We start from the raw sequence: 25,572 nt of genomic DNA on the forward strand, positions 1-25,572 counted from the left end.
CAGGCTCTCCAGAATAAATGAATTTAATCAAGAATAACACATAATTGCAATGCAGAGTATGCAAGCCTCAGTGGGTCACAGGCATGTGGTGGGGGGGTGGGGTGGGGATTGAGGAAAGGGGGAATTTTTTTTTTTTGAGACTGGATCTCACTCTGTTGCCCAGGCTGGAGTGCAGTGGTGCAATCATGGCTCACTGCAGCCTCGACCTCCTGGGGCTTAGGTGGTCTTCCCACCTCAGCCTCCAGAGTAGCTGGGACCACAGGTGCACACCACCACACTGGACTCATTTTTTTATTTTTTGTAGAGACAGGGGTTTCACCATGTTGCCCAGGTTGGACTCCTGAGCTCAGGGGATCTGCCCACCTTGGCCTCCAAAAGTGCTGGGATTACTACAGGCATGAGTCACTGTGCCCCGCCCACGGGAAATTTCTTTTTTTTTTTTTTTTTTTTTTTTGAGACAGAGTCTTGCTCTGTTGCCCAGGCTGGAGTGCAGTGGTGCCATCTCGGCTCACTGCAACCTCCACCTCCTGGGTTCAAGGAATTCTCCTGCCTAAGCCTCCCGTGTAGCTGGGACTACAGGTGCCTGCCACCAACCATGCCCTGCTAATTTTTTTGTGTTTTTTGTAGAGACGGGTGTCTCACCATGTTGGCCAGGCTAGTCTTGAACTCCTGACCTCAAGTGATCCACCTGCCTCGGCCTCCCAAAGTCCTGGGATTACAGAAGCCACCGCGCCTGGCCCCAAGGGGAATCTTTTAAAAAAGAGAAGTTCCCATAAACTGCTTTGAAACCATAAAGACCAAAGGTTAGAAGGGTTTGCCGCAGGCGCTCCGTTGCTAATGTTTTTGTGAGGGCTTCTTCAGGGCCTCTTGTTAGAGTGTGACATAAACGACTTCATTTGGGTACCAGCAAGTGTCACAGGGGGCAGAGACCAGCAGAAACCTAAAGATGACCCCTAGAAGAGCAGGAGGCCAGGGGAACAGAGTTAGACGAGCCACGTGCTAAGCAGGACGTCGCTGCCGGGGGAGCTCTCCAGACACGCAGAAATGCCACAGTCAGGACCGTGGGACGCAGCGGATTCGCCCAAGGGCAGGAGCAGCCTGGCCAGGAGAGAATGAAGGAGGGGCCGGGCGTGAGGTTCGGCTGGGGAGAACCCAGGCAGGGAGGGCCTCGGGCGGCCACGGACGCCGCTTTGCCATTTTGGGCGTTTCTGGGGAGGACAACGCGTGCAGGAAGCGCAGTCATCTCAAGCTGACCTCCAAGGTTACCGAGTTCGAGGGCTGGGAGCCGGGTCTGAAAGCCCCGACCCGCCTATGGCGCGGGGACTGTGGGTCCAGCCGGCCGATTGGCCGCCTCGCTCGGCGCCGGTCCAGGCGCAGCGCTCGGGCCCCGGGGACCGTGAGATGCGGCGCAGCCAGCTTAGCTCGGGGTAGCAGCCACCCCAGCCCGGGTGCCGCCCGGCCTGGTCCGCGACTTCGGGAGGGTCCGGTCCTTCCCCCGGCCCCCACGCCTGGGTGAGGCCCTGGGCTTCTTGCCGGTGACCACGCGGCCAGGGTGGGCACCAGCCCAGGACGGCGCCCAAGGGCAGCCCAGCTCCATCCCCGCGCCGCGGGTTCCGGAACCGAGGCGCGGGACGCTGGGACTCTCTGCCAACATGGCGGCCCCGCCCGGGCGCCTCCCCGGGTCCCTAGTGTCTGCGTCTCCCGTGAGGGCGTGGGCAAAGTCGGTGCAGCCAGACGACAGGAGGCGAGAGAAGCCCAGCTCCAGGCCCATGAGGCGAACCACGTGGGAGCCCCAGACAGCGACCACGCCCCAGGCGAACCAAGGCCCGCCCCGTTGCTACAGCTACGCTCGTAGCACACCTGGGCAGGCGCTGCCGGACGCATGCGCAATGAACCTGAGGGCAGGGCGGAGTCGCAGCAGTTGTCTGACGCAGTCGCCGTAGGACGCAGCCCCGTACGCTGGAGCGCAGCGGAGACAGGCGCGGGCGCACTGGCCGCATAGAGACGCAGCGCACGCGCAGTCGCGTATCCGTGTGATGGGCGGGCTGTTGACGGCGCTGCGATGGCTGCCTGCGAGGGCAGGAGAAGCGGAGCTCTCGGTTCCTCTCAGTCGGACTTCCTGACGCCGCCAGTGGGCGGGGCCCCTTGGGCCGTCGCCACCACTGTAGTCATGTACCCACCGCCGCCGCCGCCGCCTCATCGGGACTTCATCTCGGTGACGCTGAGCTTTGGCGAGAACTATGACAACAGCAAGAGTTGGCGGCGGCGCTCGTGCTGGAGGGTGAGGGTCGCGCCGGGCTGACTGGGGCCCGGGGCTGCCGTGCCCGCCGCCCTCCCAGACTGCGGCTCCGAGCGGGACCTGGGCGGGCGGACTCGACTCCCCAGGCGCCGCCCTCTCCACCCCTTCCCCGCAAAAAGGGGCAAATGTGCGTTCCTGGTTGGGGCAGCCGTGGGCGGCTCGCCTGCAGCGGTCTCAGCGGCCCAAATTCTGCGGGGCGGTGGTGGGAAGAGGGCTCAGAGCCCCAGCAGGTTTTCTGGGCTTCGTTCGCTTTTCTGCAAGGTCCTGGCCCAGGCGCCTGCCCCTCTTGGAGCGGAAACCGGAGGTTCCCCGTGGTGTATGCTCCCCTCGGTACAGTGAGAAATGAGCCCCTCTTGATTGGCTCCTGGTCTGTTCGTGGTGGTCTCAGGCCGAAGGGCATTGATAACCACATGCGGACTGTGCATCGCCTGGGCGGTGCCTGGGCTACATCTGTGGGAGTCGCAGGAGTCTTTCTCCACTGTTGATGAAATGTGACAGAAATGTTTCTGCTTTTTTCTTATCCTCGTCTCATCTGCACCACTGTATTAACGACATCTGTAGTATTGTCCCAGCAATGTTCCTACTCCCTGCTGAGAGGGAACTTCTCCCCATTCAAAATAAATAGAGCTGGCCGGGCACGGTGGCTCATCCCGCGTTCCACCCACTACACTCCAGCCTAGGTGTAACAGAATGAGACCCTGTTTCCAAAAAAAAAAAGAAATAGAGCTGAACACTGGATCTTCCAGAAGAATTCCTTATTGTCCTCACAGTTTGTGACAGTTGAGACGTTCCGTGTGATATATTCAGTAAGAAATGTCATTCTCTGTACCTCCCTTAGAAATGGAAGCAACTGTCGAGATTGCAGCGGAATATGATTCTCTTCCTCCTTGCCTTTCTGCTTTTCTGTGGACTCCTCTTCTACATCAACTTGGCTGACCATTGGAAAGGTATCAGAAACACGTGTACTTGAAAACGATATCTGTGTTGAGGGTTGATTGGGCAGAAGCAATCTTGCATTCTACCTTAAACAGCTCCAGGAGGCATATATGGCAACGAATTGGCAAGAAATCAAGATAAAGAGAAAGGTAGAGCTGTATGTAACCACCTGGCTAGAACACAGATGTTAATTTGATGCTGTCTGACTACTTTCTAGGTCTCTGGTGTAAGTACTGATATGTCCAGCCTCCCTTATAGAGTAAGTCAGCTGGTGGGCTTGAACACTCAGCCTAAATAACCACACAAATTTCGTAGCACTCATTAGCGTGTGTTTGGAAAAGACCAGGCAGAGTTCTGGTGAGGATGTGGAGAATCTCTTCTCACTTGGTCTAAGATGCTTCTCTTTGGAGCAAAGCTAAAGGGCTCCTGCCCACCTGCCACATGCTGAACGTCCCTGAATGGAAAATAGGAAGGCAAAAGATGTGGGGTTCTGTGTTATGGACAAGGACACAAACTGCCAAGTGTTTTGAAAAAGATTTCATTCCCTTGGGACATTGTTGAATTCATTTCAGTGACTATCAGGTATCATAATGTTGATTTGTAATGGATAGTGCCTGCCAAGTGTTTTTATAAAGCAGTTTAAATCTCTTGTAGGCCTTGTGGCATATTTGAAATAAAATAGCTTCTGTTATTCAGCTCTGGCTTTCAGGCTAGAGGAAGAGCAGAAGATGAGGCCAGAAATTGCTGGGTTAAAACCAGCAAATCCACCCGTCTTACCAGCTCCTCAGAAGGCGGACACCGACCCTGAGAACTTACCTGAGATTTCGTCACAGGTACTTTGAGCAAATGGTGTGGGGTTATAACTGGGGTTCAATCCAGAGGCATTTCAAACCACTGAAGATTGAGAAGAATTATTTTCCTTTACCATTTATTACCACGTGTTTACCTCTCTCTCGTTTTGGACTGGTCGGATAATACTTGGGGAAAGAGAGGCGTAGTCTTTGCTTCATTCTTTTTGAAGACCAGCCATGGCCAGTTCCGGTTTTACTTCTGACTGTGCAGTGTTGAATAAGACAGACCTGTTTCCTCTCAAGAGGCCACAGCTGGTAGGAGAGGCTGGTGAGAAGCCAGGCACAGATGGGCAGAGGCAGATGGCACATGGTGTACATCCTATGTGGAAAAGAGCAGGGCGCTGGTGAAGAACAGTGGCTGGTCCTGAGGGTTCAGGGGAGGCCGTGGCACTGAGGGCAAGATCTGAGGGCTGAGAAGCTGCTGGCACCGGGCAAGGTGGGGAGAGGCAGACTTGAGCCTGAGTGAAACTGCCTGAGGCAAGGAGGACCTTGGCATATGCGGGAAGGTGAAATTCCCAGGGCTGGGAGAGGGAGCAGGGGTTGGCTCAGTCCAGCTGTGGTCCTGCAGGTCCTGGAGGCAGCATGGAGGGTCCAGTTGATGTATGCGGGAAGATTTTGGCGTGGACTGGAGGTCTGAGATGTTTACTGTGAAACTGCTCTGGCTGGGTGGAGACACAGTGGAGGGCAGGAGGCCAGGAGAGCTGCCTGGCCGTGGGAAAAGCTGAGTGGGGGGAGGAGTGCTCCGCAGGAGTGGGCCTTGGGAGAAGGAGGGTGAGTCCCCGGGTGGAGGGGCCAGCAAAGGCTGTGCAGGCTCTGGCTTGGGGACACTGAGGAGCTCCGTTTTGGATCTGCCCACTGTGAGATGTCTGGGAGGCGCCATGGAGACCTTGGTGGGCAGGTGGTGCCAGGATCAGAGTCTGCCAGGGGAGACAGGTTTTAGGAGTCCCTAGGTATAGGTGGTTTGTGTCCTCTGGAAACGTTGGAAGAAGGGGCCAGGCCTAGTCCTGGGCACCACCAGGCTGAGAAGATTGGGGTCAGGGAGGAGGGCAGGGGGAGTGGAGACTGGGGATGGGTCAGGAGGCAGCTGGAGAACCAGGAAAACGTCCTGTCAGTGAAGGTTTGGTTCAGGAAGAACAGCCAAATCCCCGACACCGTTGAGAACACCAGGGTGGTGCTGACTCTGGTGTGGCTGCTCGGAACCCTTAGAAGGCCCTTAGGGTGTTAGTTACTGTTGTTGGTACATCTGTGATTGTGTCTAGCAGGTGTGGGAGTGCCTTGGGAGCTTCACCTGTGGCCAGAGTCCTCAGCGCCAGGTGGACTTCCCTGCAGGGCTGTGACAGGGACAGACAGCGCTTTCTAACAGTGGCCTTGGGAGTGGTAACCTGCCGAGGAACAGCTCCTGGGCTGGGGAGCTGGAGGCAGGCTGCTGCCCACTGGCTAAGGATCTCAGCAAGAGGGGCATTGGGGCATTGGCCCCCATGAGCTTGGGCCACCCTCAGACTGCCGTGGGGGTGTTTTGATTTTTTTTTTTTTCGAGGCGGAATCTCACTCTGTCGCCCAGGCTGGAGTGCAGTGGTGTGATCTCAGCTCACTGCAACCTCCGCCTCCCGGGTTCAAGTGATTCTCCTGCCTCAGCTTCCCGAGTAGCTGGGATTACAGGCGCCCGACACCACGCACAGCTAACGTTTGTATTTTTAATAGAGACGTGTTTCACTATGTTGGTCAGGCTGGTCTCGAACTCCTGACCTCTTGATCTGCCCACCTCAGCCCCCCAAAGTGCTGGGATTACAGACATGAGCCACCATGCCCGGCCCTTTGATTTCTTTAACAAGAAAATGTGTCCTTTTAAAATTTCTATAAGCTCAATAGAGAGGGGATGGACAGTACCAAAAAGCAGAAGGAAGCAAACCCACATTCTCCTTTCAAAGGCAGCATTCCTGTCGCTGAGCAGCTTCTCCAAGGGTGGTCTAGCCGGGCAGAGGGTGTAGGGTGGGAATTGGCCCCTAGAAGGTGCCGTGCCTGATGGGAGAGTCCTGCTCTTGATTGGCCATGGGGCCACTGCTCCACACTCTTCGGTGTGAGGATTTCTGCCTTTGACCAAGGTCTTTGTCTACAAATTGAATTTTCCTGACTGGAAAGCCGACAGGTGCTTCCTTTCCTTCTTTGGTCCTTCGTCTCCTTTGCATATGGAGTATCGTAACTGCCTGAGAGCAGACTGTGGTATTTTTTCCATTGAAAGATGTGTTTCCACCACTCACAAGTGACCCATAAGCCAGCACCTAGTGTCCAGGAGCAGCTGGGGTGGTGGATGGTGAATATTTCTGTCTTTCTCAAGCATTGACTTGGAGACATCCTGCCCTCCAGGGATCACTTGCACTGCCTCTCCTGTTCAGACCCTGGCACTTGTCTAGACCTGGTTAGGGATGAGGCTGTGTTTAGGCCAGATCCCTTTCTGTTAACGTTTTACTTTGGTTGAGTTCAAATTTTTTTGTTTTATATTTTTTTTTTTTTTTTTTTTTTTGAGACAGAGTCTTCCTCTGTTTCCCAGGCTGCAGTGCAGTAGCGCAATCTCAGGTCACTGCAAGCTCCACCTCCCGGGTTCATGCCATTCTCCTGCCTTGGCCTCCTGAGTAGCTAGGACTACAGGTGCCCGCCACCACGCCCGGCTAATTTTTTGTATTTTTAGTAGAGACGGGGTTTCACCGTGTTAGCCAGGATGGTCTTGATCACCTGACCTCGTGATCTGCCCGCCTCAGCCTCCCAAAGTGCTGGGATTACAGGCGTGAGCCACCACGCCCGGCCTTAAAATTATTTAATAGAGATGAGGTCTCACTATGTTGCCCAGACTGGTCTCCAACTCCTGAGCTGAAGTGATCCTCCTGCCTCAGTCTCCTGAAATGCTGGGATCACAGGCATAAGACACCACACCTGTCTGATTTCAAATGTTATAGGGGCTTAGGAGAGAAAATGGGAACATTGAGAAGGTATAAAGGGGAATACACAGCCACACATTACCCCTGTTCCCAGTCCAACTCTTGAAACACTTGGTATATGTCTTTCAATTTATGTGGCTGGGTATGGTGGCTCACACCTGTAATCCCAGCACTTTCAGAGGCCAAGGCAGGCAGATTGCTTACGCCCAGTCTGGGTAACACGGTGAGACCACCATCTCTACCAAAAAAAAAAAAAATTAGCCAGGCACGACATGCCTATAGTCCCAGCTACCTGGGAGGCTGAGGTGGGAGGATCGCTTAAGCCAGGGAGGTTGAGGCTACAGTGAGCTATGATCCAGCCTGGATGACAGGGAGACCCTGTCTCAAAAAATAATAATAATAATTTTATTTGGATAAACACATGTATACATCATTGAGGGTTAGGGGCTGGATTGGTATTTGGATACACACGTGTGTACGTAATTGAGGGTTAGGGGCTGGATTGGTCCCTGTTTCTTTTTTTATGCACATGAGAATATTCCCTTTCATACAGATTTTTATAGCTCTTCTCCATTGCTTGGATAAACCATCATTTTCTAAATCATTTATCTGTTGATTCTTTCTTCATTTGTAAATGTCCCCATTACATCCGTTGTACGTAAACTATTAAGAGTTAAAGGTTGTGAAGATTTTGATGTCCTATGACGTGTATCATGACAAACTATTCCCGAATTTGCTTCCCCTGCTACGGTGCTGAGAGTAGCAGTCAGTGGTGCCATGGCAGCACTGGGCATTCTCGTGTCGGCAATGTTTCCAATGCAACAGTCAGAAACTGGCGCCTGCTTTTCGTGGATGCTTGTGTGTCTTGCCTAGAAGCAGGGACACTTACAGGAGGGGAGAGGTGATGAACGGCCCTATGTGCTCCCATCCCGGAAGCTGTCCGTGTCCTTTGATGAGTCTTAGGACTTTTATATTTTCCTTTATTATTGGTATTCCCTTTATTATTAGTATGACTGTTGTGAGTTAGAATATTTCATCCTTTACCAAGTATGCTTCTTATGACTTCATCCGGCTTAGAAATTAGTTTTAGAGAACTTTGCTATATAGTAGCAGTAATCAATTAGAAAATGTTATTGAAAAGAGATCTCAGGAGGTTGCAGTGGCTCACACCTGTAGTCCCAGCACTTTGGGAGGCCGAGGCAGGCGGATCACTTGAGGTTTGAGGTCAGGAGTTTGAGACCAGCCTGGCCAACATGGTGAAACCCCATCTCTACTAAAAATACACAAATTAGCCAGGCGTGGTGGTGCGCACCTGTAATCCCAGCTACTCAGCAGGCTGAGGCCTGAACTGGGAGGTGGAGGCTGCAGCAAGCGGAGTTCGCACCACTGCATTCCAGCCTGGGTGATAGTGAGACTCAGTCTCGAAAAAGAAAAGAAAAGTGATCTCCATCACAATCACAAGAAAAGAATGCCACCAAGTCCGTAGGAGTAATCCTGATACTAAAATATATAAAGTCAGTATAAATAAAAGTACAACACTCAAGGTATTTGAAAAGACCTAAATAAGTAGACATTTTATTCTTCTGCTGTGAAGATTTAAGCAGTGGCTCACGCCTGTAATCCCAACACTTTGGGAGGCTGAAGCGGGTGGATCACAAGGTCAGGAGATTGAGACCATCCTGGCTAACACAGTGAAACCCCGTCTCTACTAAAAATACAAAAACAAAATTAGCCGGGCGTGGTGGCAGGCACCTATAGTCCCAGCTACTCGGGAGGCTGAGGCAGGAGAATGGCGTGAACCTGGGAGGCGGAGGTTGCAGTGAGCCGAGATCGCGCCACTGCACTCCAGCCTGGGCGACAGAGCAAGACTCTGTCTCAAAAAAAAGAGAAAAGATTTAAGTTCTCCCTAAATTCATCTGTAAATCCATTGACTCCCTATCAAAATTCCAACCTCTGTTTTTAAAGATGATTTTAAAATTCATATGGAAAGAAAATTTGGGAGTAAAACTCAGATGAACTTCCCTACAAGATCATAAAACTGTGATCATTGAACCCATGGTGATTTTTTTTTTTTTTGAGACAGAGTCTCACTCTGTTGCCCAGGCTGGAGTGCAGTGGCACAATCTCCACTCACTGCAACCTCCACGTCTCGGGTTCAAGTGATTCTCCTGCCTCAGCCTCCCAAGTAGCTGGGATTACAGGGATGTGCCACCACGCCCGGCTAACTTTTTGATTTTTTGTAGAGGTGGGGTCTCACTTTGTTACCCAGGCTGGTCTGGAACTCCTGGGCTCAGGTGATCCTCCTGCCTCGGCCTCCCAAAGTGCTAGGATTACAGATGTGAGCCACTGCACCTGACCCTCGTAACGGTGATTTTTAAGACTAGGTGATCTTAGTGACATAATTCTAATAGTTTGTTCCGACCTTCCACTGTGGACTCAATAGCAGGGAGATGAAGAGGACAGTGATTGCATGACCTGGTGGAGAAGAGACTAGAGAAACACAGTGGAACTAGTGGCTCACATCTGTCATCCCAGCACTTTGAGAGGCCGAGGCAGGCAGATTGCTTGAATGCAGGAGTTCGAGACCAGCCTGAGCAACATAGTGAGACCCCATCTCTATTAAAAAAAAAAACAGGCTGGGGCCAGGCATAGTGGCTCATGCCTGTAATCCCAGCGCTTTGGGAGGCTGAGACGGGTGGATTGCTTGAGACCAGGAGTTCAAAACCAGCCTGGCCAACATGGTGAAATCCTGTCTCTACTAACAATACAAAAAATTAACCTGGAGTGGTGGCGGGCGCCTGTAATCCCAGCTACTCAGGAGTCTGAGGCAGGAGAATCACTTGAACCCAGGAGGCAGAGGTTGCAGTGAGCCAAGATCACGCCACTGCACTCCTGCCTGGGCAACAAGAGTAAAACTCTGTCTCAAAAAACAAACAAACAAAAAAAACAGGCTGGGCATGGTGGCTCATGCCTGTAATCCCAGCACTTTGGGAGGCTGAGGTGGGTAGATCACCTGAGGTCAGGAGTTCGAGACCAGCCTGGCAAACATGGTAAAACCCCATTTCTACTAAAGATACAAAAATTAGCCAGGTGTGGTGACACGCGCCTGTAATCCCAGCTACTTGGGAGGCTGAGGCAGGAGAATCGTTTGAACCCAGGAGGTGGAGGTTGCAGTGAGCCAAGATTGCACCATTGCACTCCGGCCTGGGTGACAAAACAAGACTCTGACTGGGATTACAGGCGTGCGCCACCACGCCTGGCTAATTGTTCGTAATTTTAGTAGAGATGGTGTTTCACCATGTTGCCCAGGTTGGTCTTGAACTCCTGACCTCAGGTGATCCACCTGCCTCCCAAAGTGCTGGGATTACAGACGTGAGCCACCGTGCCCAGCCATAAGTAAGCATTCTTTCCTTTTTTAAAAAAAAAAAAAGTGGAGCAATCTAAATATCCATCAGTAAAGAAGTACAAAATTATGGCTTGTGCCGGGCATGTTGGCTGCAACCTGTCATCCCAGCACTTTGGGAAGCCAAGGCAGGAGGAATTCGTGAGGCCAGGAGTTTAAGACCAGCCTGGGCAACATAAGGAGACCCTGTCTCTATAGTAATAATAATAATAAAAATTAAGGTTTGGTAATACCACAGAAAACTGAGGCCATAGGAGAGAATGGATTTGCCTCTAGACTCACGTAGGAGGACCTAAGCCTCAGTCCGTGACACGGTCTGCAGCTTTCCCACGCTCCTGTTCACGTGGGGAAGGGAGCAGAGGACGGGGCTCTGTGCCTGCAGGTGTGGAAACAGGGAACAGGGTGGTGGGGGCTGGCTAGAAGGCCCGCATCACACAGCAGGGGGCGCCTGGCAAGGGGAACCCAGCTCCATATGTCATCGGAAGCTTTGTGCTTTGTAGTGAGGATGTGGGTGCCTGCCTCACTTTGCAGATGACTGTGCGGGAGGCCTGGGGACCCAGAGGTGTTGCTGGAGCTGGTGTTTACTGCAGCCCTTTGTTATTAACGCTTTAGGACCTGTGAGAGTTTGGAAATATTCCCACCGTGGGAGGGGCTTAAGCGTTTTGTCTGGGGCCGTTTAGCCAGTCGGCAGTGTCCCCAGGCTCCTAAGGAGCTGTCTTCTGAAGCTGCCTGTCGTATTGAAAAACGAAAGTAATTTAGTCAGAGGTCAGAAGCTCAGTCTGTGAGGTGTGGGCTGCACCTGAGGGCGTCCCATAGAGGGAAAGAAGGGCAGCTCGCAGACACCCCGTGATTTCCTGTGTGACCAATTTCTCTACAGAAGACACAAAGACACATCCAGCGGGGACCACCTCACCTGCAGATTAGACCCCCAAGCCAAGACCTGAAGGATGGGACCCAGGAGGAGGCCACAAAAAGGCAAGAAGCCCCTGTGGATCCCCGCCCGGAAGGAGATCCGCAGAGGACAGTCATCAGGTACAGAGCGCAGGGCAGGCTGCACGCCGCCGCTCAGGGCTTGATGTTCCGAAAAACAAGATTGCGGAAACGCATTGTGTCTGAGATCTATTTTCCTTTGAAACTGACAGTGTATGCTCTGTAATCTGTCCTCATTAACCTTAGATTACAGAATCGAATTTTTAAAACTGGAGGTCAGAGCTAAATTAGGTCCCCGATAATGTCCTCATGGTATGCAGTAACATTTCAGAATGTTTTGTGTGCGTGTGAAGGGTGCACAGGTGCGTGGGGATGGGGAGCCAGGCTCAGAGGTGGACGCTGGCTGCCTGGGCCACCTCCTTTCCCGAGCCCCATCTGGTCGAGCAGAGAGCAGAGGGAGAGGGAGTTGCCCGGTGCCCAGGCTCCCAGAGTGCTGTCCTCTGCCCGGTTCGTCAAGTCCAGGTAGTGGATCCCAGTGGAGCTTCGGTGCTGGAGGCGTCTCTGCCTCGTTTCCGGCTCCATGTTACGCTCTTAGAAACGGAGTTGATTGTGGTTGAGGCGGAAGGAAGGGTTCCCCGCAGACGTCCTCTCTCTTCTACAAAGTGTGGGCAGAGCCAGGGCCAGTGAGGGCTGCTGTGCAGGAGTGGCCTGAGACAAGCGCTGTCCGCCGTGAGAGATGGGCTCCGAAGAAACGGGCCCAGAGGCCCTGAACTCAAGCGCGTGGTGAGAGGCGTGGACATGTGCATGTGAGGGGTCCTCACGGCCAGGAGGAGAATTTGAGGGCCACTGTGCTCTAGTTAGCGTTGGCATGAATGCAAGGACGCTTTACTTCCAGAGCAAAAGAGGATTTGACCTCAGCTTGTCAAAAGTGCCACGTTTGTACTCCCAGCATGTAAGCCATCTGTGGTTGTAAGAGGCCTTTTGCTGATCCTGGGACAGATTCACCACAGGGCCCCAAGAGAACGCTCGGGCCCAGCCACAGTTAGGAGGTTGCGCGGCAAACCCTCTACACAACCTCATAGCTGTTCCTGATGGCCATTGGACAGAACTCGATGGGGAGTTTGAGTGGCCATGCGTCTCGTGTGTAGGGACAGCCCCCGTCTGTGTGGCCATCCTGGCATCTTGGGGCCACCTCACTGTCACTAGTGCTCCTGTTTGGATGAAAGATTCTCTACTCCTCCACCATAGAGGCCCCCCGCCTCCGGCCTCTGCAGAGGGATTTCTCACGATTCTCCAAGCTCTGGTCTCTGACCTCAGGCCAGCCTTGACCCTGGAGCAGTGCTGTGGTCTTGGCTCTCAGGCACGGGAGCTCAGGACTGAACTGTGTGTTTCCTGCCACTCAGCAGCCTGCACCTCAGGATGATGGGGCCGCTTTGGGTGCAGGGCTGTGCCTTGGCCGTGGGTATGGAGCGTGGGGGTGGGAAACATGGAGCCACAAATGTTTGACGGCAGCTGACACCCTTCCTTCTCCCCCGAAGCTGGAGGGGAGCGGTGATCGAGCCTGAGCAGGGCACCGAGCTCCCTTCAAGAAGAGCAGAAGTGCCCACCAAGCCTCCCCTGCCACCGGCCAGGACACAGGGCACACCAGGTGAGGCCACACCTGCACCCCTTCCTCCCCGGGCGCTCAGGGGCTGGTGGCTGATGGGTGCAGGCTTCGTCTCAGCCATGGTGGGTGGCGCCCCCGCCCTGGTGTGCACCTTGCCCTTCAGCATCCCCCTGTTGTCTGAGTCCTCACAGGCTCTGCAACCTTGGTGACACCATGTGGCTCTTGGCCTGCTGTCCCTGAGCACATGGCTGCAGAAGAAGGTGTGTCTGAGAGGTTTGTGTCTGGGCCAGGCTGCCCCACGGGATCCCTGGAGACTGCTGCCCGTGCTGTGTCCCCTGTCTCGGCCTGGCCAGTCCCAGGCAGCTCTGGGGGCCACTTCATTCTCAGCACCGTTTGTTGGGGGCCTCCCAGGTGCGGGCCTTCGGCCAAGCTCAGTGCATGACCTGAGGCCTCTTTCAACCTCATGACACCCTCTGACACGATAAGCCACTCACCCTCCCGTTCTCCAGACTGAAAAGCAGGGCTGAGGACAGCCACCCCCAGAGTCGTTTGCTTGTCTGTGGGGGCTCATGGCAGGTCGCTGAGTCTGGAGCCCTGCTCTCATCATGCCCCCCAGGTGTCTCTGAGGTGGGGAGGGAGCCCAGAGCCAGGACTCCCAGCCCCGGGCCTGTGAGGGATGTGTAGCAATCTCTGCGGCATCAATGAGGGCAGAGGCAGAGGCAGAGGCATAGACATGCCATGAGCACAAGGAGGCCTCAGAACCTTTCCTGAGAGGACGTGTGGTTTGGTGCCGTTACACACGTGTCAATCCACACATTAGTCAATGTTGGCCGGGCGTGGTGGCTCACACTTGTAATCCCAGCACTTTGGGAGGCTGAGGTAGAAGGATCTCTTGAGTCCAGGAGTTCAAGACCAGCCTGGACAACACAGTGAGGCCCCATCTCTACAAAAAAAAAAGAAATTTATATATATGTGTATATTTGAGACAGAGTCTTGCTTTGTCACTTCACTGCAACGTCTGCCTTCTGGGTTCAAGCAAGTCTCCTGCCTCAGCCTCCCTAGTAGCTGGGATTATAGGCACCCGCCACCACACCTGGCTAATTTTTGTATTTTTAGTAGAGACGGGGTTTCGCGATGTTGGCGAGGCTGGTCTCAAACTTCTGACCTCAGGTGATCTGCCCACCTCGGCCTCCCAGAGTACTGGGATTACAGGCGGGAGCCACCGTGCCCAGCCAAAAAAATTTAAAAAAAGGGAACGAAGGGACTGTAGCGCGTGTGCACAGTGCGATTCCCGTGGAGCACCTGAAGCCCACGTGGCAGAAGGAGCGTGTTTGAGTCGAGGATGTTCATCGCGAGGTCTGCACCCGTCCGTGTTTCACATTCTGAGTTGGCACCACACTCACCCACGTCTCCACAGGCTGTGCTCACTGTGCTGTCCCAGCGCCCTTGGGGCAGCCACCCTTGTCCCTTTGGCCAGAGGCCACCGAGGCCCAAGGAGGGTGTGCCTGCCCAGGCGCCAGGTGGAGGTGCATGGGCCCCAGTCAGGTGGTCGGGTGACAGGTGCCATCCTGTGCAGTCTCCAGAGGTCTCAGGCCCTTGGCAGGCTGTGTTCTCCCTGGGGGCTGCTGCAGCCTCTGTGGCCCTGGCCTTTGCTGTGCCCACCACCGCCCTTCCCGTCGTCCCAAACCCACCGTCATCTTTGCCCCATGGGGGTCACAGCAGTGCTCTGCCTGAGGGTGTCCATCTGTGCCGACGCCAGGACCACGTCCGCCATGGCCTGTGCTCTCTCCCCCCTACTAGTGCATCTGAACTATCGCCAGAAGGGCGTGATTGACGTCTTCCTGCATGCATGGAAAGGATACCGCAAGTTTGCATGGGGCCATGACGAGCTGAAGCCTGTGTCCAGGTCCTTCAGTGAGTGGTTTGGCCTCGGTCTCACACTGATCGACGCGCTGGACACCATGTGGATCTTGGGTCTGAGGAAAGGTACCTGGTGCTTTCTGGGGAGGGGCTGAGCCCTCCGTGTGGGCCTCGTGTGCTGAGGCAGAGTGTGGGTTGCACACGGGGTGAAAGCTGCTGTTTGCATCTGACCATGGGTTTTCCCTTCTCCTGGGTGCGGGAGTGGACGTGTTGGCTGTGGTCAGTTCCTGTTCTTGTCCAGCCACCCAAGGCACACACAGGGCCGCTGTCCCCAGACCTCTGCAGGAGTTGAGTGTGGACTCTTTGGGGGACGTCCAAGGGACATTCCCAGGCTGTGCTTCTCTTGCAGCTGGGGGTGGTGGGATGAGTGACTGTGGGGCCCCGCTGGTCCCAGATCTCAGCAGCATCCTTCATAGACCAGCACATCCACTTTGAATTGGGAGTATGTGTCTTCGGTTATTTAAGCGATAATTTAAACATTTGCCTAATTTTTTGAATAGGTTGAAGACCACCAGTAAACGACGTGTGTAATTTTTTTGGGTCGTAGCCTTTGGTTGTGACCCATTGGTGGCCATAGCAACTGCACTGCTGACTCCGTTTTATTAACAAATGTTGACGACTTCAAGATTTACCCCCTTGAGATAGGAGGTGATATTGAAGCCCTGCAGGGGAACGATAACGCCCCAGACATGGGTTTGGTTTTTTGTTTTTGTTTTTTTGTTTTTGAGATGGAGTCTTTCACTGTCTCCTGGGCTGGAGTGCAATGGCGCAATCTCGGCTCATTGCAACCTTGGCCTCCTGGTTTCAAACGTGGGTTTTTTGGAGACAGAGTCTAGTGGTGTGGCCCAGGCTGGAGTGCAGTGGCACGATCTCAGTTCACTGCAGCCTTCGCCTCCCGGGTTCAAGCTATTCTCATGCCTCACCCTCCCCAGTAGTTGGGACCACAGGCATGCGCCACCATACTCAGCTAATTTTTGTGTTTTTAGTAGAGATGGGGTTTTCCCATGTTGTCCAGGCTGGTCTCTAACTCCTGGGCTCAAGCAATCCACTTGCCTCAGCCTCCCAAAGTGCTGGGATTACAGGCATGAGCCACCACGCCCAGCCAAATGTATTTTGAAGATGGATAGATAATAGGAAAACGTTGGAGCCATCCATTTGTCTCTGCATCCTTTACTGTTTTATGTCATAGAATTTGAGGAAGCCAGGAAGTGGGTGTCGAAGAAGTTACACTTTGAAAAGGACGTGGACGTCAACCTGTTTGAGAGCACGATCCGCATCCTGGGGGGGCTCCTGAGTGCCTACCACCTGTCTGGGGACAGCCTCTTCCTGAGGAAAGCTGTAAGTGTCTTGGGGTGTCCTGCAGGGAGATGGTGGACTCGCATTCAAGCAGTTACCCCTTTAGTGGACTTGTGGGGACGTGACTGTCTTCCTGTTTCCTCTTCAAATGCACTGGAGTCTGTTTCTGAGCTCATATTCGTGAGCTGATGAAGCCACTTTGATCACCACTGGCCTTGTAGAGACATTCACTCAGTGCAGAGTGATGCCCGTTTCCTTGCTGCTGTGTTGACCCCAGAGAGCCTTCAGTGTCTCCACTGAACTGCATGAAAGGGTGTAGACGAGGCCTCTGGGTGACCTGAACGTTGGTTCTCTACTCTGCTCATATACCAGGAGGATTTTGGAAATCGGCTAATGCCTGCCTTCAGAACACCATCCAAGATTCCTTACTCGGATGTGAACATCGGTACTGGAGTTGCCCACCCGCCACGGTGGACCTCCGACAGCACTGTGGCCGAGGTGACCAGCATTCAGCTGGAGTTCCGGGAGCTCTCCCGTCTCACAGGGGATAAGAAGTTTCAGGTAAGGGGGCAGGCTTTCTGGCTGGATGCGCCTCCCCTGGAGCTACCTTTTGCTCATCACAGCAGGTACTGTGTGTGTGTGTGTATGTGCATGTGTGTTTTCAGGTTTTTTACTGTGATAAAACACACAAAACGCACCACCTTAACCATTTCCAGGCGTGGTCGGTGGTGTTACATTCACGCTGTTGCAGGCGTGCAGGTCGGTGGTGTTACACACATTCACACTGTTGCAGGCGTGCAGGTCGGTGGTGTTACACACATTTGGGCTGTTGCAGGCGTACAGGTCAGTGGTGTTACACACATGCTGTTGCAGGAGTACAGGTCGGTGGTGTTACACACATTCATGCTGTTGCAGGCGTGCAGGTTGGTGCTGTTACACACATGCTGTTGCAGGAGTACAGGTCGGTGGTGTTACATGCTGTTGCAGGCGTGCAGGTCGGTGGTGTTACATTCACGCTGTTGCAGGCGTGCAGGTCGGTGCTGTTACACACATTCCTGCTGTTGCAGGAGTACAGGTCGGTGGTGTTACACGTGCTGTTGCAGGTGTGCAGGTCGGTGGTGGTACACACATTCATGCTGTTGCAGGAGTATAGGTCGGTGGTGTTACACACATTCACTGTTGCAGGCGTGCAGGTCGGTGGTGTTACACATTCACGCTGTTGCAGGCGTGCAGGTCGGTGGTGTTACATTCACGCTGTTGCAGACGTGCAGGTCAGTGCTGTTACACACGCTGTTGCAGGCGTGCAGGTTGGTGGTGTTACATTCACACTGTTGCAGGCGTGCAGGTCGGTGGTGTTACACACATTCATTCTGTTGCAGGCGTGCAGGTCAGTGTTACACACATTCACGCTGTTGCAGGCGTGCAGGTCGGTGGTGTTACACACATTCACGCTGTTGCAGATGTGCAGGTCGGTGCTGTTACATTCACGCTGTTGCAAGCGTGCAGGTCGGTGGTGTTACATTCACGCTGTTGCTGGCGTGCAGGTCGGTGGTGTTACACACATTCACACTGTTGCAGACATGCAGGTCGGTGCTGTTACACACATTCATGCTGTTGCAGGCGTGCAGGTCGGTGGTGTTACATTCACACTTGCAGGCGTGCAGGTCGGTGGTGTTACACACATTCATGCTGTTGCAGGCGTGCAGGTCGGTGGTGTTACACACATTCACACTGTTGCAGGCGTGCAGGTCGGTGGTGTTACATTCATGCTGTTGCAGGCGTGCAGGTCAGTGGTGTTACACACATTCACGCTGTTGCAGGCATGCAGGTCGGTGGTGTTACACACATTCACGCTTTTGCAGGCGTGCAGGTCGGTGGTCTTACATTCATACTGTTGCAGGCGTGCAGGTCGGTGGTGTTACATTCACACTGTTGCAGGCGTGCAGGTTGGTGTTACACACATTCACACTTGCAGGCGTGCAGGTCGGTGGTGTTACACACATGCTGTTGCAGGCGTGCAGGTCGGTGGTGTTACATTCACACTGTTGCAGGCGTGCAGGTCGGTGGTACACACATTCACACTGTTGCAGGCGTGCAGGTCGGTGGTGTTACACACATTCATGGTGTTGCAGGCGTGCAGGTCGGTGTTACACACATGCTGTTGCAGGCGTGCAGGTCGGTGGTACATTCATGCTGTTGCAGGCGTGCAGGTCGGTGGTGTTACACATTTTCACGCTGTTGCAGACGTGCAGGTCAGTGGTGTTACATTCATGCTGTTGCAGGCGTGCAGGTCGGTGGTGTTACATTCACGCTGGTGCAGGCATGCAGGTCGGTGGTGTTACACACAACGCTGTTGCAGGCGTGCAGGTCAGTGGTACACACATTCACGCTATTGCAGGCGTGCAGGCCGGTGGTGTTACATTCACGCTGTTGCAGGCGTGCAGGTTGGTGTTACACACATTCACACTTGCAGGCGTGCGGGTCGGTGGTGTTACACACATTCATGCTGTTGCAGGCGTGCAGGTCGGTGTTACACACATTCACACTTGCAGGCGTGCAGGTCGGTGGTGTTACACACATTCACACTGTTGCAGGCGTGCAGGTCCGTGGTGTTACACACATGCTGTTGCAGGCGTGCAGGTCGGTGGTGTTACATTCACACTGTTGCAGGTGTGCAGGTTGGTGTTACACACATTCACACTGTTGCAGGCTTGCAGGTCGGTGGTGTTACACACATTCACACTTGCAGGCGTGCAGGTCAGTGGTGTTACACACATTCATGCTGTTGCAGGCATGCAGGTCGGTAGTGTTACACATTCATGCTGTTGCAGGCGTGCAGGTCGGTGGTGTTGCACATTCATGCTGTTGCAGGCATGCAGGTCGGTGGTGTTACATTCACGCTGTTGCAGGAGTACAGGTCAGTGGTGTTACACACATTCATGCTGTTGTGCAGCTATCACTTCCATCTCCAGAGCCCTTTTCATCTTAAAACTGAAGCTCTCCCATCACACAGTGACCCTTCATGTCCCTCCCCAGTCCCTGAAAAACACTGTTCAGGTTTTTCTTCCTGGACCTCATTGTGTGGAGTTCCTCGTGTGAGTGCAGTCACACACGATTTGTCCTTTTTTTGTTTTCGTTTGTTGAGACAGAGTCTCATTCTGTCACTCAGGCTGGAGTGCAGTGGCGTGATCTCAGCTCACTGCAACCTCCACTCCCAGGTTCAAGTGATTCTCCTGCCTCAGCCTCCCAAGTAGCTGGGATTACAGGCGCCTGCCACCACGCCCAGCTAATTTTTGTGTTTTTATTAGAGACAGGGTTTCACCAAGTTGGCCAGACTGGTCTCAAACTCCTGACCTCGTGATCCACCCGCCTGGGCCTCCCACAGTGCTGGGATGACAGGCGTGAGCTACCACACCCGGCTGATTTATCCTTTTATTTGGGCTCCTTTCACTCAGCGTCTTTAAGCTTCATACGCGAAAGATGCTTCAGAGATTCCTTTTTCAGGCTGAATATCTGCTGCGTGGCTAGGCCACTTTTTGTTTAATCCTCTCTCCTCTGGTGGACACCAGGACTGTGCTGTTTTGGTTGCTGTAAGCGCGGGTGCACACGCCTGCCTGAGGCTGTGTTTTGGCCGTTGTGAGTGTGGGTGCACACACCTGCCTGAGGCTCTGCTTTGTTGTGAGTGCGGGTGCACACACCTGCCTGAGGCTGTGTTTTGGGTGTTGTGAGTGTGGGTGCACACACCTGCCTGAGGCTGTGTTTTGGGTGTTGTGAGTGTGGGTGCACACACCTGCCTGAGGCTGTGGCGCGATCTCGGCTCACTGCAACCTCCACCTCCCGGGTTCAAGCGATTCTCCTGCCTCAGCCTCCCGAGTAGCTGGGACCACACCCACCACCACACCCCGTTATTTTTTTGTATTTTTAGTAGAGATGGGGTTTTGCCATGTTGGCCAGGATGGTCTGGAACTGACCTCAGGTGATCCACCCACTGGCCTCCCAAAGTGCTGGGATTACAGGTGTGAGCCACTGTGCCCGGCCTCTTTTTACTTTGTTAATGGTGTATTTTGATAGATAACAGATTGTCATTTTCATGAAGCACAGCTGGTCAGTTTATTGTTGCTCATGTATTTGGCCTCATGTTCGAGTCCCTGTTTTTAATCATGAGCTGGACACAGCCCTCTTTAGAGCAACTGTGACCACTTGTGGTGAGAAGTGCAGCCCACACCATCCACGTGAGGCTCCCACACGCCATCCACGTGAGGCTCCCATGCAGACATTTAGAAGGCGTTTTCACTGCAGCTCAGAAAATGGCCCCAGGCCCCCATGGGCACCCCCATGTCACCAGGGCCTCTGGTTGCTGCCGGTACACAGGGATAGGCAGCCAGGCCTCGAAGGTGCTGGGCATGGGTTTGGGTGTCTGCGTTGGGTAGAGACCCGGAGCGCCCTTGCTGGGCGTGCCCTAACATCCCGGTACCCTGTGCCCCTCTGTGGGCCAGGACGCCTGGTGCTGCCAGCTGGGCGTAAGCCCTGAGGAGCTGAGGGTGGCTGTGACTTGGAGGATGAGTAGGAGCTCACCAGGAGGGCGTGGAGCCGAGGCGTTTAATATCATCAGGAGCAACACTGGGCTCAGAAGGCAGGCACACTTGCCGTCCCTCCAGAGCCATGGCTGACGGCCAGGCCTGGTGGGCTCTCGTGAGGACAGTGCCTGTGGTTGTCAGATGCTGTCCCTTCGAGTAAGGGATGAGAGCCATCCTGAAGATGGGTCAGCTCTGTGGTGACCACCCGTTGGGAGCAGTGACATTCAGGTGCGTTGCACTGGTGGCTGTGTGGCTGTGTGGTACGGCCACCAGGAGCCATGTGGGCAAGGACAGCTGTGGGCTGGGCACAGAGCTCTCTCTGCTGGGAGTCAGTCGGTGCTGGGGCGAGGGGAGGCAGAGCTCACAGAGCCCCTCTACAGCTCACCCTGCAGCTCGGCCCTGGCCAGTAAACCCACCATCCCCCTTTCTGCCGCAGGAGGCAGTGGAGAAGGTGACACAGCACATCCACGGCCTGTCTGGGAAGAAGGATGGGCTGGTGCCCATGTTCATCAATACCCACAGTGGCCTCTTCACCCACCTGGGCGTATTCACGCTGGGCGCCAGGGCCGACAGCTACTATGAGTACCTGCTGAAGCAGTGGATCCAGGGCGGGAAGCAGGAGACACAGTGAGGCCCGGCCCGCTGCCCCCAGCTCCCGCGGCTCCCCCGTTCCCGCAGCCCCCCACTCCTGCTGCCCCCAGCTCCCACGGCCCCCGCTCCTGCTGCCCCCCGCCACACTGTGTGTCAGGAAACCGCAGCCGTGCCAGGCCTGGCCCAGGCATTTATGTGGAGGGCGTATTCATTCACCTCTCACCGTGGCCTCTGGGGGGGTGAGGGGGGCATCTTCACTGAGGGCCATGGGCTGTGCAGGGTGGCACCTTCTGTCCGGCAAGGGCCAGGCCTGCTGTACTTGTGTGGGCCCAGGATGTGCCTGTCCCTGGTGCCCCACGGGAGCCGATGCACCGTCCTGGTAGAGTGAGATGACTGCTGGTGTCCACAGGCTGCTGGAAGACTACGTGGAAGCCATCGAGGGTGTCAGAACGCACCTGCTGCGGCACTCCGAGCCCAGTAAGCTCACCTTTGTGGGGGAGCTTGCCCACGGCCGCTTCAGTGCCAAGATGGTGAGTGTGTCTGCGGGGCCTTCCGGCCGCCGCCCCTTTTACCTTGGCTTCCAAGGTGCCTGAGTCATGATGTCAAAAAGAACGAAATCCTGGCCATGGCGCCCACGTGGAGGCCCTGGGTGGACCGTGGCTGCCTGGCCAGGCCTGTCTTGGCAACAGGGCAGTAAGGCCTTGTGTGGCACCTGGGGTGGGCAGGGCTTCCCCAGGGCAGCTCCCTCCCCGTGCCCGGTGTGTAGCAGGTCCTCGGGCGGTGTGTGGGGGCCGGGTTGGAGGGCCTGGTCCAGGCAGCTCCGCTGTTCCATGCCAAGTGCCCTCGCGTGGCCTCCCCTCCCAGGGTACCAGGGCCGAGGCAGCGCTGGGCTCCCACGTTGGCTGCCCGTGCAGCTGCAGGCTGAGGGCAGGGCCTGGGATCTGGGGCTGAAGAGACCCTCTGATTCCAGGACCACCTGGTGTGCTTCCTGCCAGGGACGCTGGCTCTGGGCGTCTACCACGGCCTGCCCGCCAGCCACATGGAGCTGGCCCAGGAGCTCATGGAGACTTGTTACCAGATGAACCGGCAGATGGAGACGGGGCTGAGTCCCGAGATCGTGCACTTCAACCTTTACCCCCAGCCGGGCCGTCGGGACGTGGAGGTCAAGGTGGGCCTGGGCCTGGGTCAGGGTCCATCAGGAGGAGGGTGCTGGCAGGGCTGGCCTTGCCCTGAGCTCTGCTCCGCCCACAGCCAGCAGACAGGCACAACCTGCTGCGGCCAGAGACCGTGGAGAGCCTGTTCTACCTGTACCGCGTCACAGGGGACCGCAAATACCAGGACTGGGGCTGGGAGATTCTGCAGAGCTTCAGCCGATTCACACGGGTGAGCACCTGTCCTCGCCCCGCGTGGTCACGGCCACCGGGCCACAGGCACGGCTGGGCTGTGGGGCTCAGGCTGGCTCCGCTCTTGGTGGTGGCTGTGACCTGGATCCGGGAGGGGCGGGCTTGCCGCAGCCTCGGGGTGGCCACACTGCAGCTTGGGGGCCCTGGCATCCCCATCCCCACTGAGCTTCATGGTTGTGGGACCCAGAGTACTTGGAGGGGCTGGGCACCCCTCATTTTCATTTCTCAGGGCCTGTCTAGGGAGGGTCTCTGCTGTGGGCCCAGCATCCCCCCAGTTTAGGAGGCACACGCACCCATGACTGGGGCACCATCCCCACTGTGGACCAGGCCCTGTTTTAGGTCACGCCCTCCACGCCAGAGTGTCACTTCCTGGCTCTGCTGTGATCTTGGCCTGAGGCCCCCGCTGCCTCCGCTCCCACCGTCTGCCCTGTGCCCTGTGCCCTGTGCGGCAACTGTGAGGCCCCCTGAGCCCAGGTTCTGGGGGAGGCGGTTTCTGTCGTGGTCACTTGAGGGTTGTTGGCATTTCCAGGTGGGCTCCGGTGGAACCACACGGCTCGCCTGGGGGTGGCCATCATCCAGGCGCCCTCCACCCTGAGCTTGCGCTGGGGGCCACATTCACCATGGGGTGGAGAGCGCTTCGGTGATGAGGCTGAGGGGGGTGCAGGGTGCCCCCCGTGTGGTGACGAGGCCCTGGCTGCTGCACAGGTCCCCTCGGGTGGCTATTCTTCCATCAACAATGTCCAGGATCCTCAGAAGCCCGAGCCTAGGGACAAGATGGAGAGCTTCTTCCTGGGGGAGACGCTCAAGTATCTGTTCTTGCTCTTCTCCGATGACCCAAACCTGCTCAGCCTGGATGCCTACGTGTTCAACACCGAAGCCCACCCTCTGCCTATCTGGACCCCTGCCTAGGGTGGATGGCTGCTGGTGTGGGGACTTCGGGTGGGCAGAGGCACCTTGCTGGGTCTGTGGCATTTTCCAAGGGCCCACGTAGCACCGGCAACCGCCAAGTGGCCCAGGCTCTGAACTGGCTCTGGGCTCCTCCTCGTCTCTGCTTTAATCAGGACACCGTGAGGACAAGTGAGGCCGTCAGTCTTGGTGTGATGCGGGGTGGGCTGGGCCGCTGGAGCCTCCGCCTGCTTCCTCCAGAAGACACGAATCATGACTCACGATTGCTGAAGCCTGAGCAGGTCTCTGTGGGCCGACCAGAGGGGGGCTTCGAGGTGGTCCCTGGTACTGGGGTGACCGAGTGGACAGCCCAGGGTGCAGCTCTGCCCGGGCTCGTGAAGCCTCAGATGTCCCCAATCCAAGGGTCTGGAGGGGCTGCCGTGACTCCAGAGGCCTGAGGCTCCAGGGCTGGCTCTGGTGTTTACAAGCTGGACTCAGGGATCCTCCTGGCCGCCCCGCAGGGGGCTTGGAGGGCTGGACGGCAAGTCCGTCTAGCTCACGGGCCCCTCCAGTGGAATGGGTCTTTTCGGTGGAGATAAAAGTTGATTTGCTCTAACCGCGATGTCGCCTGTGTCTTTAGGGATCTCCATGACTGGAAAGTCTGGGCGGACGTTGGGGAGAAGGTATTCTTCAAGTCACGTCTCAGAATTCGGTTTGCTGAGACTGGACTCTAGCTGTCCCCTGCTGGTGGGCAGGGAGAGGCCACGGGGAAGCTCCGTGTCCCTGGCCCCACGGGGCAGATGCTTGGCGGGAGGCATCCTTGCGCCTGCGTTTCACACAGGGCCTGTTTCCCTGCAGGGCTGGCACTGAGGCGCACAGCTGAGGGATACACGGGCCCTCAGGTCAGGCAGCTCCCAGCAGCCTGGCATGGCTATGGCCCCGAGCCCTGGGCTGTGGTGGCAGAGTTGTCCTCATCATCACTCTACTGCTGTCCCTATCCCAGGGCTGACCCTGGGCCTTGGCTGGGTTCCCCCCGACCCTGAACCAGGTGACCTCTTAGGACCACGCCCCCTCGCTCTCCCCTGTGAAAAATCCATCACCTTCACTTCCGGAAGACTCCCCTTCCCTGGGAAGCCAGAGCCGGTGGCGGCACAGGGCAGGGCTACCCGGACCCAGCCCAGGATTGCCAGCTCCGCCCCTCGGGACGTCCGGGCCCCGAGTGTGGGCCTCGGCTCTGCCTGTCCCCACAACCCCCAACATCCCACAGCAGCCACCTGTGTCCCTCTGGGGACAGTGGGCACCCTGGGGCTTCGTCTCCCACTTCATGCTGGGCCCTGATCCTGCACTCCACCCTCTGTGCCTGGAAAGGTGAGAACATCGGCTGTCATGTGACCCTGGCGCCTGCCCCTTGTCACGGTGGGCCCAGCACGGCCCTAGCCTGCCCCTTGTCAGTACCACCCTAGCCCGCCCCTTGTCACGGTGGGCCCAGTGCTGCCCTCCTGGACCAGGTGCCCCATGGCCGGCTGAACGGGCAGGACTAGGGCAGCAGGTGGGGCCTCAACAGCCGGAAAAGGTGCACCTTCTCCATCTCACCCAGACCTCCGAGACTAACGTGCTGGGGGCGTGGTCCCAGAGGGTGGAGGGACAGCAACTGCATGCCCCTTGGGGGCCAAAAGCACTGTCCAGTGGCCTCCCCTGGAGGGGTCGCTGTGTACAGAGGATGTCAGGGAAGGAGTCACCTTGGAGGTGTGGCTGCAGCCTCTGTCTGCTGCGGCTCAGCAGAGCGGGGCTTCCTTGCGGGGCACTGCCCCCCGCTGCCCTAAGGAGCAGACCTGAGCGTTGTGGAGCCTCTACCTTGTGGAGCACATGGCATACCCGGCCTGTGTGGGGTGCGCCGCGTCCCCAGCCGTGTCTCCGAGGGTCCCGCTCCCACAGCCTGCGT

The 25,572-nt window shown here is 55.9% G+C and overlaps 2 protein-coding genes, 1 long non-coding RNA gene and 1 other non-coding gene across 42 annotated transcripts, besides 4 other annotated features; 3 read left to right on the top strand and 1 right to left on the bottom strand.

The window, feature by feature from the left end:
• MAN1B1-DT (MAN1B1 divergent transcript) lies at positions 9-1,880 on the bottom strand. Its single transcript, NR_027447.1, has one exon. It is a non-coding gene; the product is annotated as an MAN1B1 divergent transcript (long non-coding RNA).
• Positions 1,402-1,631: a silencer, noted in NCBI's record as "silent region_20578". NCBI's record gives its function as "represses an Ori minimal core promoter by ATAC-STARR-seq in GM12878 lymphoblastoid cells {active_cell/tissue: GM12878}" and the evidence as "EXISTENCE:reporter gene assay evidence [ECO:0000049][PMID:35858748]".
• Positions 1,972-2,201: an enhancer, noted in NCBI's record as "active region_29343". NCBI's record gives its function as "activates an Ori minimal core promoter by ATAC-STARR-seq in GM12878 lymphoblastoid cells {active_cell/tissue: GM12878}" and the evidence as "EXISTENCE:reporter gene assay evidence [ECO:0000049][PMID:35858748]".
• Positions 2,048-24,246, top strand: MAN1B1 (mannosidase alpha class 1B member 1). 4 transcript variants are annotated; one of them, NR_045721.2, is made up of 14 exons: positions 2,048-2,281; positions 3,138-3,246; positions 3,331-3,461; positions 3,932-4,068; positions 11,300-11,454; positions 12,891-13,000; positions 14,759-14,944; positions 16,068-16,216; positions 16,547-16,735; positions 21,188-21,378; positions 21,752-21,872; positions 22,313-22,510; positions 22,594-22,725; positions 23,451-24,246. NR_045721.2 is itself a non-coding variant. In NM_016219.5 (13 exons), exons 1-13 carry the CDS (start codon positions 2,063-2,065, stop codon positions 23,652-23,654), a joined length of 2,100 nt encoding a protein of 699 aa, NP_057303.2. In that variant the 5' UTR covers positions 2,048-2,062; the 3' UTR covers positions 23,655-24,246. The 4 variants fall into 4 exon arrangements, 2 of the variants coding, with proteins under 2 accessions (NP_057303.2, XP_006717008.1); NR_045720.2 differs by lacking the exon at positions 3,331-3,461 and having other exon boundaries at positions 22,338-22,510; NM_016219.5 differs by lacking the exon at positions 3,331-3,461.
• Positions 2,182-2,411: a silencer, noted in NCBI's record as "silent region_20579". NCBI's record gives its function as "represses an Ori minimal core promoter by ATAC-STARR-seq in GM12878 lymphoblastoid cells {active_cell/tissue: GM12878}" and the evidence as "EXISTENCE:reporter gene assay evidence [ECO:0000049][PMID:35858748]".
• Positions 9,408-9,493, top strand: LOC124902338 (small nucleolar RNA SNORD62). The gene has a single exon (XR_007061912.1). It is a non-coding gene; the product is annotated as a small nucleolar RNA SNORD62 (small nucleolar RNA).
• Positions 11,051-11,180: an enhancer, noted in NCBI's record as "active region_29344". NCBI's record gives its function as "activates an Ori minimal core promoter by ATAC-STARR-seq in GM12878 lymphoblastoid cells {active_cell/tissue: GM12878}" and the evidence as "EXISTENCE:reporter gene assay evidence [ECO:0000049][PMID:35858748]".
• On the top strand, positions 16,742-20,039 carry LOC124902313 (uncharacterized). Of its 36 annotated transcripts, XM_047424353.1 has the most exons (5): positions 16,742-16,975; positions 17,170-17,994; positions 18,075-18,157; positions 18,273-18,697; positions 18,735-20,039. In XM_047424353.1, the coding sequence occupies exons 1-5, from the start codon at positions 16,820-16,822 to the stop codon at positions 19,271-19,273; spliced, it is 2,028 nt and encodes a 675-aa protein (XP_047280309.1). In that variant the 5' UTR covers positions 16,742-16,819; the 3' UTR covers positions 19,274-20,039. The 36 variants fall into 36 exon arrangements, 35 of the variants coding, with proteins under 35 accessions (XP_047280309.1, XP_047280306.1, XP_047280326.1 ...); XM_047424350.1 differs by having other exon boundaries at positions 16,742-18,157; positions 18,735-18,814; positions 18,892-20,039; XM_047424370.1 differs by having other exon boundaries at positions 16,742-17,097; positions 17,839-17,880; positions 17,923-18,697.

This window comes from Homo sapiens, chromosome 9 (genome assembly GCF_000001405.40).
Source record: "Homo sapiens chromosome 9, GRCh38.p14 Primary Assembly".
In the NCBI taxonomy this organism is placed as follows: domain Eukaryota; kingdom Metazoa; phylum Chordata; class Mammalia; order Primates; family Hominidae; genus Homo; species Homo sapiens.